Source organism: Homo sapiens, chromosome 15 (assembly GCF_000001405.40).
Source record: "Homo sapiens chromosome 15, GRCh38.p14 Primary Assembly".
Lineage (NCBI taxonomy): Eukaryota > Metazoa > Chordata > Mammalia > Primates > Hominidae > Homo > Homo sapiens.
The window spans coordinates 85600539-85619816 of NC_000015.10; the positions used below are offsets into that span (position 1 = coordinate 85600539).

Genomic DNA, 19278 nt, shown 5'->3' on the forward strand with positions numbered 1-19278 from the left:
GGGCCATTTTTAATGTAGTAGACAGGACTTTAAATATTGACATCCATTTTCACAACACAAATGTTCCTTTAGGAAATTCTTTTTAATAAACAAATAGTAATTAAAAGATTTAACAAATGCATGACATTAATTTTAAATTTAACAAGATAGCCTTTTAAAGGAATATATTCCCCTACCCAGCCCCAAAAAGCATTTATGTCCTGATGACCACAATGAATAACTGAGCTGAAGAAACAACTTGTCTTTGTCAGGGAGATAAAATTCTTCTGCCACGTTTTTACCTTCCATTCCTTAGCATTGTGTCTGTGGCTCTTCCTAATATCACTTTCCCCAGGAGTGGGAAGACCCTCTTACAATTATTGGAACATTTCCACTGTAGAACCTGTGACAAGTTAATCTTTTTGGAATGGCAGTCAGATAGCTGGAGGTAAAGCCTTACGTGCCAGATCTTCTACTTTGACACCTTTGCTACACTATATTTCTAAAATATCCATGTACTTGGCTGACTTCTTAAATGCTGAGCAAAATTTATCCTTGATGGCTCAGAATTATTGTTATGAGGGTATCTATTACTATTATGTATTAAAATGTACATTAATGGGCACTAATCCGAGTAATAATTCAGGAACTTGCATTAAAAAGAGTTACTCATGTCAGTTTACCATTTGCCCTGGTCTTTCAAAAATGCAATGAGACTTATTCAGCCATATAGTCCCTTAGGAAGTACCTTTCAGTTAACTTCATTAGCACATAGGTCATCAAAAGTCTTTTCCTAAATAATTTTATTTGCCCTTCAGAAAACCATCTCTGTTTATTGTTCTTGCTGTAATTACTCTTAATTCACCAGCATCATTCATAATGTTATGAAATTGTTTAGACCTAATCTCACATATAACTAAAGGCATTAGCTTTCATATAGTCTGTTAAGTTAGAAAGCTCTCACCCAAGATTCTATCCTTTTCCCCCAAAATAAGAAAAGCTTTTTTTCTCTGAGACAGTAAATTTAACTTATCACATTAAACTGCCAATTTAGGGAACTCATACTCTCATCTTCTCTCACCTGAATTCTTTGTGTGTGTGTGTGTGTGTGTGTGTGTGTGTGTGTGTGTGTTTTTCTTCCAGCTATTCTTGTATTCCTTATAACCCATCAGTTCTCAAACTCTTTGGTCTTAAGATCTCTTCACATTTTTAAAAATTAAGAGCCCCAAAGAGCTTTTGTTTATATAGGTTATATCTAGAAATGTTTACTGTATTAGAAGTTAAAACTGAGAAATTTAAAAAATGTTTATTAATTCATTTACTACAATAAACTAATCATTATTAAAATTATATTTTTATAAAGATATTTTTTCTACAAAAAATTACTTTTCTACAAAAAAATTTAGAGGAGTGGTATTGTTTTAATTTCTGACTTAATATAAAATATTTGGATTCTTACATCTTTCATGCATTAAGCCTATTGCAATATATTGTTTTAGTTGAAGTATATAAAGAAAATTAAGCAAATACAGGTATATGCTTAGAAAAGGGAGAACTACCTTAATAGTTTTCTCAAATAATTGTGATATTCTTTGATACTAGATCAGAATTGACAAACAGTAGGTTCTTAAAAGCTACTTTCGGTATGCAATCTGAAATCGTATCATTGAACTTTTTGTACTCTGTCTCACTCTGTCATCCAGGCTGGAGTGCGGTGGCACAATCTCGGCCCACTGCAACCTCTACCACCCAGGTTCAAGGCATTCTTGTGCCTCAGCCTCCCAAGTAGCTGAGATTACAGGCGTGCGTCACCATGCCCAGCTAATTTTTGTATTTTTAATAGAGATGGGGTTTCTCCATGTTGGCCAGGCTGGTCTTGAACTCCTGATCTCAGGTGATCCTCCCGCCTCAGCCTCCCAGAGTGCTGTGATTACTGATGTGAGCCATTGTGCTGGGTCTGGTCTATCTCATATATATATATTTTTTTGAAACGGAGTCTTGCTCTGTCACCCAGGCTGGAGTGCAGTGGTGCAGTCTTGGCTCACTGCCACCCCCACCTTCTGGATTCAAGTGATTCTCCTCCTGCCTCAGCCTCCCCAGTAACTGGGATTACAGATGTGCACCACCACACCTGGATAATTTTTGTATTTTTAGTAGAGACAGGATTTCACCATGTTGGCCAGCCTGGTCTTGAACTCCTGACCTAGTGATCCGCCCGCCTCAGCTTCCCAAAGTGCTGGGATTACAGGCGTGAGCCACTGCACCCAGCCTATCATACTTTCAATGAATCTTTTACTCATGCATAATTTTGTAAAATCCTACATTGGTCATTTGGAAAATATTGATTCACTGAGTAATACAACTCTTCCAAATGTTGAATGTTTCATTCTACAATATCAGAAACTCAAATTTGTTAATGTTACTACTAGTCTCATCAGAAATGTCTTTAAGTATTTGTTAACTGGCAAACTCATAGTGACGACTACAGGCTTTCCAGAATTTTCATTTTCATTTGAAGTCTGAATTTTATCAACTATAAATACTGTCAGTTGTTTCCCTTGAGAAGCAGGTTCTAAGAAAATAACCCCAAGTTCTGAATAACCATTATTTGTCAGTCATTCTTTTAAGTAAAGTGTTGTTTCCTGAAAAAAGCAGTTTAGCTCACAACATAAAATAACTGTACAAGTGATTTTTCTCAAGACAGGCATCACATCACATACACAGAAGTATTATGTGTTTGCTTCCCATTTTGTCACACAGAATTTTAAAAAGGTGTGTACTCAGAGTATGGCAGTGAAGACTATAATGACTCCTGATTCATTCTGGCACCAATGCCTTGGTTTGTGCTAAGGCACCATCAGTGCAGATGTCAACACAGTAAAAAGGCAAGTAACATCTTACCATTACTATGAAAATAGTTTTGATCACACAGACACCCTGAAAAGGTCTCCTCAAGGTTTTGCAGACCGCACTTTGAGAACCACTTTGTCTAGCCCATGTTGCAGATTCTTGCTCAAAGTAAATTAAATAGCTCCTTGGTTTTTAAACTTTGTGATGTGGCATACATGGACTTTACAGTCTGTCTCTGAAGATTACTTGTACAGTCCCATCAGCTATACTTTTTCACCCCACAGTCCAGCTGCCAGCCTCGCCAGAATCCCCTTATTATTTGAAATTTATTGTTGTATTCACTCAATGTATTCTGTGCCTGAAATGCATCTCTGGAGTCAACATGGGTACCCTTTCCTTCTTTAAAGCCCTTCCCTGATGTGCAGTGTTACCTGTGGTGTCCTCTTCGCTCTCTCAGGCCTCCTGTTATACTCTTCTCCTTCCCCACACTGGAACAGACCCAGTGGAATTGCAGTGTATCTCATGTGCCTCACTAAGTACTGCACTGGGAGCTCTGCCGCCTCCTGCCAGTGACTCTGCTTCAGCCATGTTTTCATGCACAGTGACTTGTCACATTTCTCACACATGGCAGACATTTATAATGTCTGATGTGTGTTGAGTGTCTCAAAAGAAAAAGGGACACAGGAAGAACTTCAGCAAGGTTGATATCTAGTTAGTTGACAGTTTTTTGTTAAGTATTGCTTCAGCGAGCTCTACATAAGGGGATACAGTATTTACTTCATTTATTATTTTCTCTCCTTCAGGGCACTGACAACCTTAAATAGGTCACTTTAAAAAAAATAACTATTTCCTATTTACATAATAAATACATTTGAAGATTTAAGTTTTGTAAGTTGAGGTTGAAAAGCTGATTTAATCACTGTGGCAGGAGTTGCAGCTAAAAATTAGGTGAAGAATAGGAAGGTCCTCATTGATAACCCATTAAAATGAGTATTTAGGACTGAACCAAGAGAGGTGATTCATCTTTCTGTCTGTATAGAATTTGGATAATTGACTCAGTAATGAAATGGAACCAATCAAAAGCTGCTGCTGCTGCTGCTTTTTTTTTTTTTTTAAGTTGGAGCCTCGCTCTGTTGCTCAGGCTGGAGTGCAATGCTGCAATCTCGGCTCATTGCAACCTCTGCCTCCCGGGTTCAAGCAATTCTCCTGCCTCAGCCTCCCAAGTAGCTAGGATTACAGGCACCTGCCACCACTCCCAGCTAATTTTTGTATTTTTAGTAGAGATGAGGTTTCACCATGTTGGTCAGGCTGTTCTTGAACTCCTGACCTCAGGTGATCCACCCACCTCGGCCTCCCAAAATGCTGGGATTACAGGCATGAACTGCTGCACCCAGCCTTCAAAGCTTCTTTAGGTTCATCAGAATGAGAGTTAGATGCATAGAGCCATTAGAATTCAGACCCAGGAAAACCCTACTTATATGAAAGAAAGATTAGGAAGATTTGGGAAGTTCTTCTTAACAATAAACCATATGCTAAGCTCTTGAATACCACTGATGTTTACTGTAACATCTTCATAGGGCAGTCAGAAGAGAGATGTTAATAATCTATAGATGGCTAGTTGGAGGGACAACTTACATGTTTCCTGCTCAGTGCTGCACTAAGAGCTCATGGGTGCCCCTGGTAATAATTTATGCTCTTAATCCCCATGGATTACCTAATTTCCTAGATAAACTATTCCCGACAGTCAGCGCTTTGCAGGGCTTCTGAGCCATTAAACACACACATACATCCCGTTATTTTTTGAGAAATTATCAGAATGCTTTCATGAAACTTCGTCTCGAATAATTTACCATTTTGTGGAGAGGATATTTAAAAGTTTCACTGGGAACAATTGTAGAACATTCATATAAATTCCAGAGGGAGATATTTGCACACTTAGAAAGGGTCTTTTGCAGGGACATGGATGGAGCTGGAAGCCATTATCCTCAGCAAACTAACACAGGAACAGAAAACCAAACACTGCATGTTCTCACTTATAAGGGGGAGCTGAACAATGAGAACATGTGGATGCAGGGAGGGAAACAACACACACTGGGGCCTGTTGTGGGGTGAGGTGGGAGGTGGGAAAGCATCAGGATAAATAGCTGATGCATTGCTGGGCTTAATACCTGGGTTGATGGATTGATAGGTGCAGCAAACAAACATGGCACATGTTTACCTATGTAACAAACCTCCCGAGTCATGCACATGTAGCCCGGAACTTAAAATAAAATTGTTTTAAAAAGGTACTGGGATATAAGCTTATAAATAATTGTGAACAAATAATATAAAAATCAATATGTATTTAGACATATCTCAAGGATGGATAATTTTATGGAACCCACCCAAACTTCCATTTATATTTTAAAAAAGCATTCAGTCTTCAAGCTTATCAAGTTGTGTACTTTAAATATACATAACTTTTTGTATTTCTGTCATGCCTCAATAAAGTGGATTAAAATTTTTAAAACAGCATTAAGGGTAGACAGAATATCCTCCATTTAATGATAAATTTCTGATAGATCTCATGTATTTATAAGGTCTAACTACTAGTACCATTTGTTTGTAGTGGGCAGAGTGGATGCCCTTTAGTGCATATCTGTGTGTCAGATATTTGTGGTTTATTTTACATTTTTAAATAAAGGAGCTTCTGAATCTAGATTTTCTGCACTGGTTTGATCTACTTTTTTTTTTTTTTTTTTTTTTTTTTGTTGAGATGTAGTCTTGCTCTGTCACCCAGGCTGGAGTGCAGTGGCATGATCTTGGCTCACTGCAACCTCCGCCTCTAGGGTTCAAACAATTCTCCTGCCTCAGCCTCCTGAGTTGTTGGGATTACAAGTACCCACCACCACGCCCAGCTGATTTTTGTATTTTTAGTAGAGAAGGGGTTTCACCATGTTGGCCAGGCTAGTCTTGAACACCTGACCTCAGGTGGTCCGCCCACCTCAGCCTCCCAAAGTGCTGGGATTACAGGCATGAGCCACAGTGCCCAGCCTAGGTTTGATTTACCCTTGAGCATAGGTTCCTTTACCTGAAAGATCCTTTTCAGATATGCATATTTATTTACACAGAAGCCATTTGTTGAATGCTAAGAAATCCAAAGAAACAGGAGATGTCTTGTTCCACGAGACTTGTACAACAGGCCCCTACTTAACTGTGATAATTGATGGATGAGTGCTAACACAGTTCTAATGGAGTCAGAGGCAAGATAGGCCAGTTTTTTGACTGAGGTGTTTGGTGGAGGCATCATGGGGGTGACTACAGTTGAAGAGATCTTAAAGACTTTTCCGGTTTTGCCTAGACTGGGAAGAACATCATGGCAGGGTCAAGGACATGGAGGCAGCCAGGTGTAAAATAATCTGAGAACAGTAAGTTGACTTGTGTGACTGAAGTAGAAGAATCTTGCAAGGAAAGGTGAGAGAAAAGGCCAGAGAAGTGGTCATGGTGCAAGGCTTCTTTCCCAGGATCACCTCTCAGAGCTAGATGCTCTTTACCCCAATGGGTCACACTAGTATTTCAGCCTTCTGGGTGGGGATTGTTTCGGGGACATTTTAAGTTCAATCCAAATTAGGCACTTGGGGATTGGCCAGGAAAAATCTATAAATATCTGTCGTTTCTTCTTTCCCTTTGCCTCAGATGAAGAGGCTTTTTTCTTTTTTTCTTTTTTTTTTTTTGAGACTTAACTCTTCCATCTGTGTTCCTAGTTCTATCTTGGCTTTTAAAGAAGTACTTCTTTGTAAAACAGCTTCAGATACTTAGTAGTTCCTTTATTCTTAGTTTTTGAGGTAGCTCCCTACCTTCTCCAGTTATCAGATAATCAGAAGACTTCACTTTTCCCTCTGCTTTCCTTTGTCATGGTACAAAATAGATCCAGAGGGGATATGGTAGTCTGATTGAAAGGAAAAGTGTTTTGTTCTTTCCATTCTGACTTGAGTCAGAATTTACCATAGTTACTTGGTTTTATTTTATATGCACCCTTGTAGGCTGACTTAAATACCTCCTTTTAAAAAATAAGACAAAAATGTAACATACATTAATTCATTTATTGCTCACACCTTTTTTTTTAACCATTTGCCTTTATTTTTATCCCCATTTTGTAGGTGAGAAACTGAGGAACAGAAAGGTTTTAAAACTTGCGTAAGGCAGCCTAGCTCCAGAGTTCATGCTTTTAACCACGATGCTAGCTTAATAGAGTCACTAAGCTACTCATTTGTCCCTTCATTTCCTTTGATGTTTCCTGTATGAGACATCTCTGCTAGTATGTATTTAAGTAAAGGAGCATTCTCCACTCTTTAAACATATTTTTGTGATAACCCTTCCAAAGCAAATGTTCACAGTGTAATCTAAGGTAAACAGTTACATTGTACTTTCTTAAAAATTTCCAGAACATTAAAATATGTGTTCTAGTTAAGTAAAATTCTCAAAATACAAGCTCCAGATAATAGTCTCTGAATGAACAGAAGCAAGTTTATTGCTTTGAATATGAGTGAATGCCAAAATTAACCTGGCAGTAGTGTTGACAAATAGGCTTTTTCATGAAGAACTTCTTTCTTTTCCCCTTTGCTTTGTTTTTTTGGACAATTGATAAAAAGAGCAAGTTGTACCTCTGCATTTTTTGGAGCGCATGACTGTACAATGGTGTATATTTGCCTGGAGGGATGAGGGAAGTCTTCCATGGGAAGCTGAGTCATTTTTTGGCTTGTCTGACTGTGTGACTGTGCTAGAGCTATTCTTTTTTTGAAGAGAAAAATAAGAAGTCAAGTAATTTCCTAAAGTAATACATTTTTATTTTATGTGGGATTCATATTTTCCTTGGGTTGTGGTTATTTTGAGCAGGAGTTTTTGTGTCTGGCCAGGAGTATTCTTCTAATACAGAAACTACTTCAGACAAAATTATTTTCTCTCCTTGTTTAATAACTAAATTTGGTCAGCCATTGGAAGTCTTAGGGTTGTGATTGTGGTGGTAAACGAAGACATTATTAGTTATTCATCTCACCTTGGATGTATCATACCATTTTTGGCACTCTGGAGAAATTTAAGAAATGGCTGTTGCCTTTAAGGCAATTATTATTTGCTTAGAATCAGACCAACATGCAGTAGCAATGAACAACACAGGGCAGGACACCATAGAGTCAGCAAGGCAGAGTCTAAGCCCCATAGTGGTTCAAAGGAGAGCGTTTTAAGGAGGGTTAGAGTAGGCAGAGAGAGCTGAATTGGGAAAGTAGAATTAAAGGATGGACTTTGACTAAGGTGGATAGGCGAGAGAGGGAATTCCAGAAACCATGATTGTTCTGAGAGCCGGGGGCCTTGAAGTAGGAAGAACCATATTCTGATTGTGGAACCTTGATACACAATTAGGCTTTATCTTGAAGAACAATAGAAAATGAGATTGGTTAAGGGTCATGGAGTAGTCTGAAATCCAGACAAGGGAGATTAGACTGGATGAAGCTAAAGACTTTTGTACTGCCTTTCTGAATGACAGCCTAAGTCATATCACTTCTTTGTTCAAACATCTTCACTGGCTCCCTATTGCCCCTGAATAGAGTCTTAAACTCTTTAGCATAACACATACACTTTTTTCATTTTTAATTGACACATAGTTGTACGTATTTATGGAGTACAGTGTGATATTTTGGTACATGTATACAATGTGTAATGATCAAATTAGGATAATTAGCATATCTGTCACCTCAAACGTTAATTATTTCTTAATGATGAAAACATTCAAAATCCTCTCTTCCCGCTAGTTTGAAATATACAATATATTATTGCTAACTATAGTCACCCTTCGGTGTGATGGAATACTACATTTGTTCCTCTTATGACTCTTTACCCATTGACCAACCTCTCCCCATTCTCTTCTCCCCATCCTTGTCCCAGCCTCTAGTAACCACTGTTGTACTCTTTATTTCTGTGAAATCAACTTATTTAGATTCCACATTATCAGTGAGATCTTATGGTGGTTGTCTTTCTGTGCTTGGTTTATTTCATTTAACGTAGTGTCCTCTAGGCTCATCCATCTTGCCATAAATAACAGGATTTCATTATTTTTTACAGCTGAATAATATTCTGTTGTGTATATGTACCACATTTTCTTTATCCATTCATCTGTCGATGGACACTTAACTTGGTTCTGTACCTTGGCTATTGCAAACAGTATACTAAACATGAGAGTGAATACTGATTTCCTGTCCTTTGGATATATACCCAGTAGTGGGATTCCTAGATCATACGGTGGTTTTCTTCTTGCATCATCTGTTTGTATAACCTATGCTGTTAATGCTTTTCCTACCTGATGTCATAGCAGTCCCTTGCATGAATCTGATGCATGTAACCAGACATTGTGCTATTCCTCTGTCATACCTGGCATTCATTAACATCTTTACCTTCACTCACACTCTTCATATGCAACACCCACCTCCTCTCTTCCATTTTCTCTGTTTCCTTCCGTTTATTTTAAAACAGCATCTTTTCTTTCTTATCACTTCAGCCAGAGATCCTCTTCCTTTTGCTGAAATTCTGCTTTTCATCTGTACTACCTACCCAAGCTGTCTTGTGTTTGTGTTTCATACAGTTGCTCCTGCTGTATTTTCTTTGAGGACTCAAAAATGTTTTATGTATTTGTATATCTCTCATAACACCTTACAGGGCAACTCACCTAAAACAGACACTTAAATATTTGCTGAATGGGTAAAGAAATTTGGCTAATATTCATTAGTTTGCTACTAATTGACCGTGGCATGCTGATGACAACGAGATCCCATTACAGAATTATGGTCAGTAAATGTCAGCATTGTTTCCTTTTACCTCATTGCCTTTGTTTTTTATGGAATGAAGTTTGTTCTTATTTCCATAGATGATCATATGGAAAAGGAGTTTCTCACTTGTTGCCTCTTCCCTTCTTTTTCCATTTCCTTTCCAAAACACTTGTCCACCCTGCCTCTCTCCTTCAGCTATATGAAACCTTTGTTCATATTCCTGACCAAGACAGCAGTACGTGTATTCAAGTGTTCTATTTTGGTTTCTATGGCAGGATCTCTTTGACACAATCAAAAGTATACAAAAGGATAGTCGTGATGCATGGAACTCACTTCTTGGTAATGGTCCCTTTTTCTCTGTCAGTGTTTTGTTTTCTTCTTAAAGTTCTTAACAATCTAAATTATTTATTGTCAGGTTAGTAATCTTATAGCAACCATTATATAAGGATTCACTTAAGGCATTTTCTCTAAAGGAAAAAAATGTCTTAAGAGAAAACTCTGAAGAGTTAGTATACAGATAGAGCTTAAGGGCCGGGCGTGGTGGCTCAGGCCTGTAATCCCAGCACTTCGGGAGGCCGAGGTGGGTGGATCACCTGAGGTCAGGAGATCAAGACCAGCCTGGCTAACATGGTGAAACTCCCCCGTCTCTACTAAAAATAAAAAAATTAGCCGGGCGTGGTGGCAGGCGCTTGTAATCCCAGCTACTTGGGAGGCTGAGGCAGGAGAATCACTAGAACCCGGGAGGCAGAGGTTGCAGTGAGTCGACATCGCGCCACTGCGCTCCAGCCTGGGCAACAAGAGCGAAACTCCACCCCCCCACTCCCCTCCCCCAAAAAACCTTAAGTTTTCCCCTGTGAAATAGTAGAATATTTAAATCCAGTTTTCATCAGTCTACAACTACGCCAGAACTACCCTCACCAAGATCTATGAAATATTTGCCTAGCAAAATCCGGATCTTGTATTTGCATGACGTTTTTACAGCATTTCGCACTGTTTACTATCCTTTCTTTGAAATACTTTCTCCATTTAGTTTCCTTGATGCCACTTCTGTGTGTTAATTCCCAAATCTGAATGCCCAACCTCAGCCATTCCCCTGAGTTCCAGTCACACACTTTCAACTGCCTACCATGGCTCTGCTCAGATATCTCTGAGATACCATGTCTCAGATTCACTGTGTCTAAAAGTGAATTCATCATCTGATCTCTCCCCTGCCACCTACTTCTGCTGCATTCCGCCCTTTACCTAGTTGTTCAGGACAGAAACCTAGTCCATCGTCACACTTCTTTTACTTCTGCTCCCACCCCAATGCCCAATATCCTGTTAATGTTAAATATTTTTGGACTCTCGGTTTCTTTTCTTGAGCTCTGCTTTCAGCAGCTGAGTTCACACTGCCATCATTTCTCACCTGACTTCTCTAACAGCTTTCTGACTCATCTGTCTCTAAGCTTGCTCCCTTCTGTCTTTTGAGCGTATTCCAGAAAAATATATTTTTGAAATACAGATGCGATCCTGCCTTTCCCTTGCTAACAACTCTTCGATTGCTTTTCCTATTGTAGCGACAATACACTTGTGAACACAAGTAACATGTTCAGCTGGGGCTGGCCTCATCCTTTGTCTCTGTGCTCTTTCTTCCCTCTGGGCCTTATGCAGTCTTCTGCCTGAACGTAGACACAGGTCAGTCTCTCTAGCTTTCCTTGCCTGCCTCCCTACAGCACCATCCACACATATACACCCTTTGCCTGGTTAATTCCTATTAAGTCTTCCATCAAGTCTCAGATTAGTAATATACTGTAAGGGCCAGTCTCAAACATGATTGTAATTATTTAATATCCATTTTGTTCACTGCCGTATCCTCGATGCCAAGCGTACATGTTTAATAAATAGTTGCCTAATGATTAAACTTTACTGAAAAGCTTATTGAAGATTTAGGGCAGTGACATGGAGTTGTACTATACAGTCCCAATAATGTCACAGATTTTCCATGTGAAATTTCCTGGTTGTTGTTGAAATTGTTAGTTACTCTATTTGCCATGTTTAGTGTTCTTGGCCCTCAGGTTTTAAAAGTTCTAATGTATCTTAAAAACATGTTAGGAAAATTTGACAATACATGAAACATTTATTATGCTTTGAATAGGTGCAGTTTATTATGTGTAAATTATACTTTAGTAAACCTGTTTAAAAATTACCTCATAATAAATACTTTTCAAGATCTAGATTACCATCTGAAATAGATTTTTTTTACTGGTGGTTTTGTCTGAATCACATACGCATTTTGCACTTGTATATATACCAACTATTTGGGTGGGAAAAATAGCATAAGGTTGTGAATTCATTTGAATTGACTATTTGATGGTATAGTTATCATGTTTAAGTAGATCAAGCGTGGTGGCTCACACCTGTAAATCCCAGCAGTTTGGGAGGCCGAGGCGGGTGGATCATTTGAGGTCAGGAGTTCAAGACCAGCCAGGTCAACATGGTGAAACACCGTCTCTACTAAAAATACAAGAATTAGCTGGGTAGTAGTGACACGTGCCTATAATCCCCAGATACTCAGGAGGCTGAGGCAGGAGAATCACTTGAGCCTGGGAGGCGAAGGTTGTGGTGAGCCAAGATTGTACCACTGCACTCCAGTCTGGGCAACAGAGTGAGACCCTGTCTCACAAAAAAAAAAGAAAAAAAGAAAGAAAAAGTAAATGTGGAGAGAACATATTCTTCTTACCTTAATGCCTTAAAAGGGATGCTATTATTTATAGTAATTTTACTCAAAAATTTGCACTTACGGGCTTCATGAAATTGGTAAGATTTCTACATGTGAGAAGAAGTTCTTGTGTCATTGTACTATTATGAAGTAGCTTTTGTTTTTGTTTTTGTCAGTGCTGGACTGTCTTATGTTCTTGTGGTCATGCTAAAAAGAAATGTTGTTAGAAGATTCAAAACTATGAGTAAATATGGCTTATAGTTTTATCAAATACAACAGTCTTTAGGATCTGGTTTTAAATAGACAACATAAATGGTTATCAAACAGTACACTGCATGAGTAGTGTCTCATTTCCCTTTTGGATAGCATTATTTGATAGGTTGAATAGGAGAATGCCATACATTTAGTATGTATTAATTTCAGGAAGAAGTTTTATTAATTATTCTGTATTGTATAGAAGATGGAGGTATGGGACTCAGAATTCAGTTGGCTTTGTAGCTGATAGACCAGCATTTTACTTAATCTTAGGAGTGCTGGGGCCGGGTGCGGTGGCTCACGCCTGTAATCCCAGCACTTTGGGAGTCCAAGGCGGGTGGATCACGAGGTCAGGAGATCGAGACCATCCTGGCTAACACGGTGAAACCCCGTCTCTACTAAAAATGTAGAAAATTAGCTGGGCGTGGTGGCGGGCGCCTGTAGTCCCAGCTACTCAGGAGGCTGAGGCAGGAGAATGGCATGAACCCCGGAGGCGGAGCTTGCAGTGAGCCGAGATCTCACCACTGCACTCCAGCCTGGGCAACAGAGCCAGACTCCGTCTAAAAAAAAAAAAATATATATATATATATATATATTAGGAGTGCTGATTGATGGACAGATGTCCTACCAGGGGAGGCTTTTAGTGATTTAATTCTGGGTTCCATCATTAGCCTTGCTCTTCAGATTTATGAATGATACAGAGTTTGGAGAAACAGCTGTTACTTCAGTGATGGAATTTAGGTTCACTATACTCTCTTAAGGCTAAAATGATAACTTTAAAACAAATGAGAATTTATTTGAGAGAATATATCTATACAGAAAGCTATAAAGTAGGTTTTAAAACAAAATCACAAGATTATAGTTTAAAGGAGACCTGATACTGTAAGTCACACTGAAAGAAAATATATGGGAAGTAAGTTTATTTCACAATAAACTTATTCTTCTAGCGGTGTAATATGTGTGTCAAGAAAACCAATTTGATCTTAGTTATCCCAGTGTGCACCATGTCAGAGGATTTTGTTTGGGGCATCCACATCACAAGAAGTACACTAACTAGAGAGCACTCAGGTATTCTGTTGTCTGAGGAGCCGTTGTGGGAATCATGATTCGAAAGAGAAGCCTGAAGAGGGTGGTGAAGCACGACGGCCATCTTTAAATATCTGAAATGCTGCCAAAAGAAATAATGAATGTTTGCTCCAAAGAGAAAAGCCAGATCAGTGTATCTGTTCATTTTCAGGAAGACTTGGGTAGCAATATCCAGAGATCTTTTAGTCTGTATGTTTGGTTTGTTCATTCTATTTTTGTAAGATATTACTATAGAGAGAAACTTTTAAAAAGTGGAATGTCAAATATTGAAATGTTGGCAGAGAAGTTGAGTCCGTTTAATGTAAAATTAAGAATCACTTGGCATTTTTATTTTTTAAAAAACATCTTTTTCTGTCCTTTAGCATTTATGTAAAATCAAATGTAGGGATATTGATTATGAGTAATGAATCCCAAGTTTTCTTTCCTCAAATACTAACTTTTCTCTGTTATAGTTTCATTTCTTGGGGGATTTATCAAGTGGCAAAATTAGATGTAGTGGAAAGACTGATTTACACAACTGAGTTTAAAGCAAATCTGTTTTATTAGCTGTGTGATGTTATATAACTGACTTAAATTCTAAGTGCTACTTTTCCTCATCTGTAAAATAGACAGTAAAATTTCACCTTACAGGTTTTTATGAGGAATCAATGAAATTGTACCTGTGGAAGCACCTGGCAAACAGGAGGTATTCAGTAAATGTTGTGGTTAATAAATCTTGCTCCAGAAGACTTGTCCTCAAGATTAAACTATCCTGTCACTTTTTCCCAACTGAAATTTTGATTCTGCCATCTCCCTTTCTTCCTTCCTCCCTCCTTTTATTTCACAAAGCTGTTGGTAATTTTAGTAGAATTTAACATTTGTGTGTATGATCCATGAGACCTTGTTCCTGTAAAGAGCACAAGTTTACGAAGATACTTTTTTCTTATATTGTTCCATATTAGTTTGTTGTTATTTTAATTGTTGCTATTATTGTCAGTTAGCTGCTGCCAGTTAAATTGTCTTAAGTTTTCTTCTTGCAAAGATAGTAAAGGGTTAAGGAAAGGAGCTGTTGGCTACTGCTTGCTACTAATTTGAAAAGAAATGGTGGTTATAGCCTTCTAGGTCTCTCCTTCTCCTTTACCCTTTTACTGTCTTGTAATCTTCAAATCTGTATGTTAGTGAATGCTAGGAGGGAACAGTAGACCTGCTTCTCCTGGAGCCATAGTACAAGGAAAGCCTAATTGGAGACGATCCTTTGCAGCCATTGTAAAGTATTTTCTTCTTTCACCTCTCAAATATTCATTTGTCTTATTTGAAGCAGTCTATTATCTAAGCAGACAGGAGTTGCTCAAGTGGAGGCTAAATGTTTTATCTGTATTCTAATACATTTTACCACCAACATATGTGTAACTCTGGATGGATCACTATATTTAAGTTTAGATTAATGAAAATTGTTGACTGTGGTAAACTTTTCCTTCCTTCCCATTTCATGTGAAGAACAAAGGTAGAAAGTGTCATTATGCAGGAATAATGTTTTCTGCAAGTTTTAAGAGAATGTCTCAATTCCTTTTTCTTTCTCCTCTGAAACTACCGTATCCCATGAACTATATGGCATGTGATAACTTCCTAGTCTCAGACTGGCAGTATATAATATTAGAGCAAGAAGGATCTTCAGATATGACCTAGCGTTGAATCTCTAATTTTTCCATTCTGGAAATCTTGGTCCAGAGGGTCAAACTAGTATCTCCCAAGTTGCTCAGTGAGATAATGGCACACCTAGGAAGACAAAGAACCCTTGATTTTCACTTAGTACCTTGTGTTCTCTGCAGAGAGTAAAATTGATCATTGATGAGTCATTAACCAGTGTCCATTCACATGCTGCTACTTTATGTTCACTTTGGGGTTTCAGGAAAAAATACATAGTAGCAGAAGATGAGCCCTACCCCTATCCCCACACCCCCACAAAAATATTCACTGGCCTTTGGTGTTCTGTTTGGGTCTTCAGCATCCCCCACTAGGTGGTGTCCTAATTCAGAAACTTTGCTGTGAGACTCCAGATGGGCTTCTGCCCTAACTGGAACTAAAGCAGCCACAGTGTTGACCCATAAGAATGCTTAAACAATTTGGTAAGGTGCTAGATCTTGTAGTTAAGTAAATCAAATGAAAATTTAATTCATGAACACAAATGCTATAGCTAAATTAAGATGTATAAAATATTTTTATATTTCATTTTCTGGAATCTTTAATAATTGCATGTTGGCCCTGTGGCATGAGACAGATTAAAAGCACTGGTTGTTTTTAAAGAATCTGGGACCATTTGTGTGGATAGAGGGCAGGATGGAGGCTGCAGAAAGAAAGGAAAGACAATTAATACTGTAAGTAACTACTGTTAAGTAGTATGGCTGTAAATAATAAAATATTTTACTACAGGTTCCCCAAATTAAAAGAAAAGGGAAATAAACTCAGAACCTCCTTTAAATTTGTAACTCTCAGCTCTGGTTTAGATATGAAATGATTGGTTGCTGTATTTCAAAATCCTGGCAGAATTACTGTTCAATGGTTCCAGATGTTTTTGATAAAAACTTGGAATTGTCACATCAACTGCAAAAGCACAAGACTGCAGATTCTGTCTTCTGTTGGGGAGTGCTGAGCAGATCCAGAGGGGAAAGCAACACAGACTCTTTTTTCCACCCAGAGCATTTGTTTCCCACCCAGGGTATTTGTCCTCCAACAAGGAACAGAATATGTAAGGAATTGTCCTTTAATATGCAGAAAGAGCAGGAAATCTAGCTTTCCAGCCTGTGGCACAAAGCCAGAAGTTAGAAATAAAAAGGTTAGTCTTTATGTCTCAAACAGTAATCTAGGCTCTTTCAGAAAATTATATTATTTTGAAACAAGTTTCTCTCTCCTAAAAACTTCCTGAAGACAGACACCTTGTTACCTATTTATTTTGCTTGCCTCCACTAGAAGTCACAAAATATCTGTTACATTGTTATAAATTATCTGCATGTAAGTCACTGGACAGGGATAGGGTAGAAAAGCTTTTTTGTTGTTGTTGTTGTTTTTGTTTTTTGTTTTTTGAGGCGGAGTCTTGCTCTGTTGCCAGGCTCGAGTGCAGTGGCGCGATCTTGGCTCACTGCAACCTCCGCCTCCGAGGTTCAAACGATTCTCCTGCCTCAGCCTCCTGAATAGTTGGGACTACAGGCATGTGCCAACATGCCTGGCTAATTTTTGTATTTTTAGTAGAGATGGGGGTTTCGCCATGTTGGCCACGATCTGGATCTCTTGACCTCATGATCTGCTTGCCTTGGCCTCCCAAAGTGTTGGGATTACAGGCGTGAGCCACCGCGCCCAGCCGGTAGGAGGGTTTTAATGGTGATTAAACCATCTCTGATCCCTAGAGAGACAGATGCCTGGGAACCTTGGAAGCAGGAATCATTTGATTCTAATTAAAACAGAAGGGAGTGGCAGTGAGGAACAAACCATATTGAGGACAGAGGGGAGGCAGCTCTGTGTTCAAAAAAAGAAGAAGGGCGAGTTCTACATTCTAGCTTGGTGAAAGCTTTTACAGAAAAGATAATAAAGTATCAGTTTATCTATACATTCAAGCCTAAAGGCTCTTTCTGTCTGTGCCCTAGACCACATAGTTTGGAAGTATTTGTAAATCTCTGGTCAAGTTCCCATGCTTTTGATAAGCCTGAGCAAGAATTTTATTTACAACTTTTAAATCTCTGTCAAATCGTCTTGTTTCTACTGTTTTGTAGCCTCATTTGTAATGAAAAGCAACATCTGTTTCACTGCACATGTTGGTACCACTACAGAGCCAAGGCTCACTTGGGGCACGAGAAGGGGAGGGGTTGTCCGCCTTCATTCCTCGGATGAACCAGTGAGGAATAGGGAGATAAAACCTTATGGCTTTTATTTCAGAATAAAGCCTGTATGTAGCTGGGGTGTATTAATAGAAAGTTGAGGAAGACGTTTACAGTCTTCTTAGCAGGGTTTGCTGTATTTCCCTCCTTTAAGCTGGTCAGCAACTTGAATATCTGGCCTGAGGACACAGCAACTCATCTATACCCTTTTTCTATATCCGTTTTTTAGCTCCTGAAAAACCTTTTCACCAACTTTGTTTGCAATGTCAACAGAAATGTAGGTGTTAAATCTCTCCTCTCCCCTTCTGTTGTGGTATTTGAGCCACTGCTTTCACAGCCTAGCTAAGGACTACTCTGGACAACTCAAGGAAAATGTCAGCAGCTCCTAGAAAGAGAAATCCTTTTTTTTTTTTAATCCCTTTTTCTTTTGTTTCTTCACTCCTTTCTGCTTTTTGCTTCCCTCAGTTCCTCATCCTTTTCCCTCCCAAATCATTCATGATCCAAGTAAGAGAATGTCTCAGGTGAGAGAATGCATTCTGAAGTAAGTCTGTCCCTGAGAATGTTAGATAGAGTGGGGGGCTAGAAGGGTCTGGAATAGTAAGAAAACAGGCAAATGAAGTAGCAGACCCACAATTCAAGACCCAGTTAGTGTGCATAGAAACACTGAAGAAGTCCCAGCCAGGCAGCTATACTTAGTCGCAACAAATATTAACATACACAGAACTCCTTTGTTCCACTCCTTTTCTTTTTCATTTTCTTTAAATCAACTCCATCATCCCTTCTCCCTCCCCAAAAATAAAGCTTAACTCTTGATAATTTTTAAACTTTATCAGACACATTTATAGCCACGTCTCGATCCTAGAGACATAACTGCAATATTTGGCTGACATTTTTCTCGTGTTAAATCATTGCTTTGCATTTGGCAGGGAGGTATAGTGTATGCTTTGGGTAGTTTCAATTTTCTGTACCTCACGACAAGTCCATTGTACACGCTTGTGGTGTTTAGTATAACACCCCCCTTCCTTTATTAGCATACTACTCTGACATCAAAGAACTGAGCTGCATCTTGCAATGCCTGACAGAGCCTTTTTCATAGGGGTGGGAGGAGGAGGAGGAGGAAGAAGAAGCGGGTTGGAAAAGGAAGCCTTGTTTTTCTCTTCGTCTCGGTAGATGAATCATGTTCCCACAACTGCAATTGGGTTTTCAAACCTCCAAGGCTGCGGGTGCGGAGCTGAAAGGGCAAGCAGTGACGTTCTTGAGAGAGAAGGAAAAAGGGAGGAGGAGGCTGGCTAGGGAGGGAAGGAGGGAGGGAGGGAGTACAGCAGGAGTGGTCTTTTATTTTTTTCCCTTTTACTCTGCTGTCCTTAGAGATTTTCAACTTAAATCAAAACCAAGCCCTACTGCCTGGTGAGCAAGAGAGATTCCAAAGACTTTACTTTGAAAAGCATCTCCCAGCTTCTACTTTTTTTTAAGGAAAAGTAGATTTTCTTTGTCTTTGTTTTTGTTTTAAGCAAGAACAGAATCTAATGACTTTTTTCATGCCATCGCTTTGAAATAGCGTCGTCTTCCTTTCTTTCTCTCCCTCTTCCTGGCAAAGTATATACTGGATTTTTATTGCCTTCTTGGGTTTTTTTCCCTACGTGTATCGGCCGTTATGCTTAGCCAGTTTATTCTTTATTTTTTTACTGGAGTCATTGCCAGTGATGGAAACGGTGTTTGCTTCTCTTTCAGTCAAGATCTGCACAAAGTATAGCATTAGGTGGTA

The 19278-nt window shown here is 38.9% G+C and overlaps 1 protein-coding gene across 2 annotated transcripts in view, besides 5 other annotated features; it reads left to right on the forward strand.

The window, feature by feature from the left end:
* The window catches only part of AKAP13 (A-kinase anchoring protein 13), a 368756-nt gene that overhangs the window by 219936 nt on the left and 129542 nt on the right, over window positions 1–19278 (forward strand). The gene's annotated exons all lie outside the window — the stretch shown is intronic.
* Window positions 11433–11602: an enhancer, noted in NCBI's record as "experimental_42228 CRE fragment used in MPRA reporter constructs". NCBI's record gives its function as "activates a minimal promoter by MPRAs in K562 erythroleukemia cells, with activity observed for both the introgressed and non-introgressed 15:86155287 variant alleles {active_cell/tissue: K562}" and the evidence as "EXISTENCE:reporter gene assay evidence [ECO:0000049][PMID:34662402]".
* Window positions 11882–12051: an enhancer, noted in NCBI's record as "experimental_42230 CRE fragment used in MPRA reporter constructs". NCBI's record gives its function as "activates a minimal promoter by MPRAs in K562 erythroleukemia cells, with activity observed for both the introgressed and non-introgressed 15:86155736 variant alleles {active_cell/tissue: K562}" and the evidence as "EXISTENCE:reporter gene assay evidence [ECO:0000049][PMID:34662402]".
* Window positions 15595–15644: a silencer, noted in NCBI's record as "silent region_6783". NCBI's record gives its function as "represses an Ori minimal core promoter by ATAC-STARR-seq in GM12878 lymphoblastoid cells {active_cell/tissue: GM12878}" and the evidence as "EXISTENCE:reporter gene assay evidence [ECO:0000049][PMID:35858748]".
* Window positions 15705–15754: a silencer, noted in NCBI's record as "silent region_6784". NCBI's record gives its function as "represses an Ori minimal core promoter by ATAC-STARR-seq in GM12878 lymphoblastoid cells {active_cell/tissue: GM12878}" and the evidence as "EXISTENCE:reporter gene assay evidence [ECO:0000049][PMID:35858748]".
* Window positions 17423–17592: an enhancer, noted in NCBI's record as "experimental_42240 CRE fragment used in MPRA reporter constructs". NCBI's record gives its function as "activates a minimal promoter by MPRAs in K562 erythroleukemia cells, with activity observed for the non-introgressed 15:86161277 variant allele {active_cell/tissue: K562}" and the evidence as "EXISTENCE:reporter gene assay evidence [ECO:0000049][PMID:34662402]".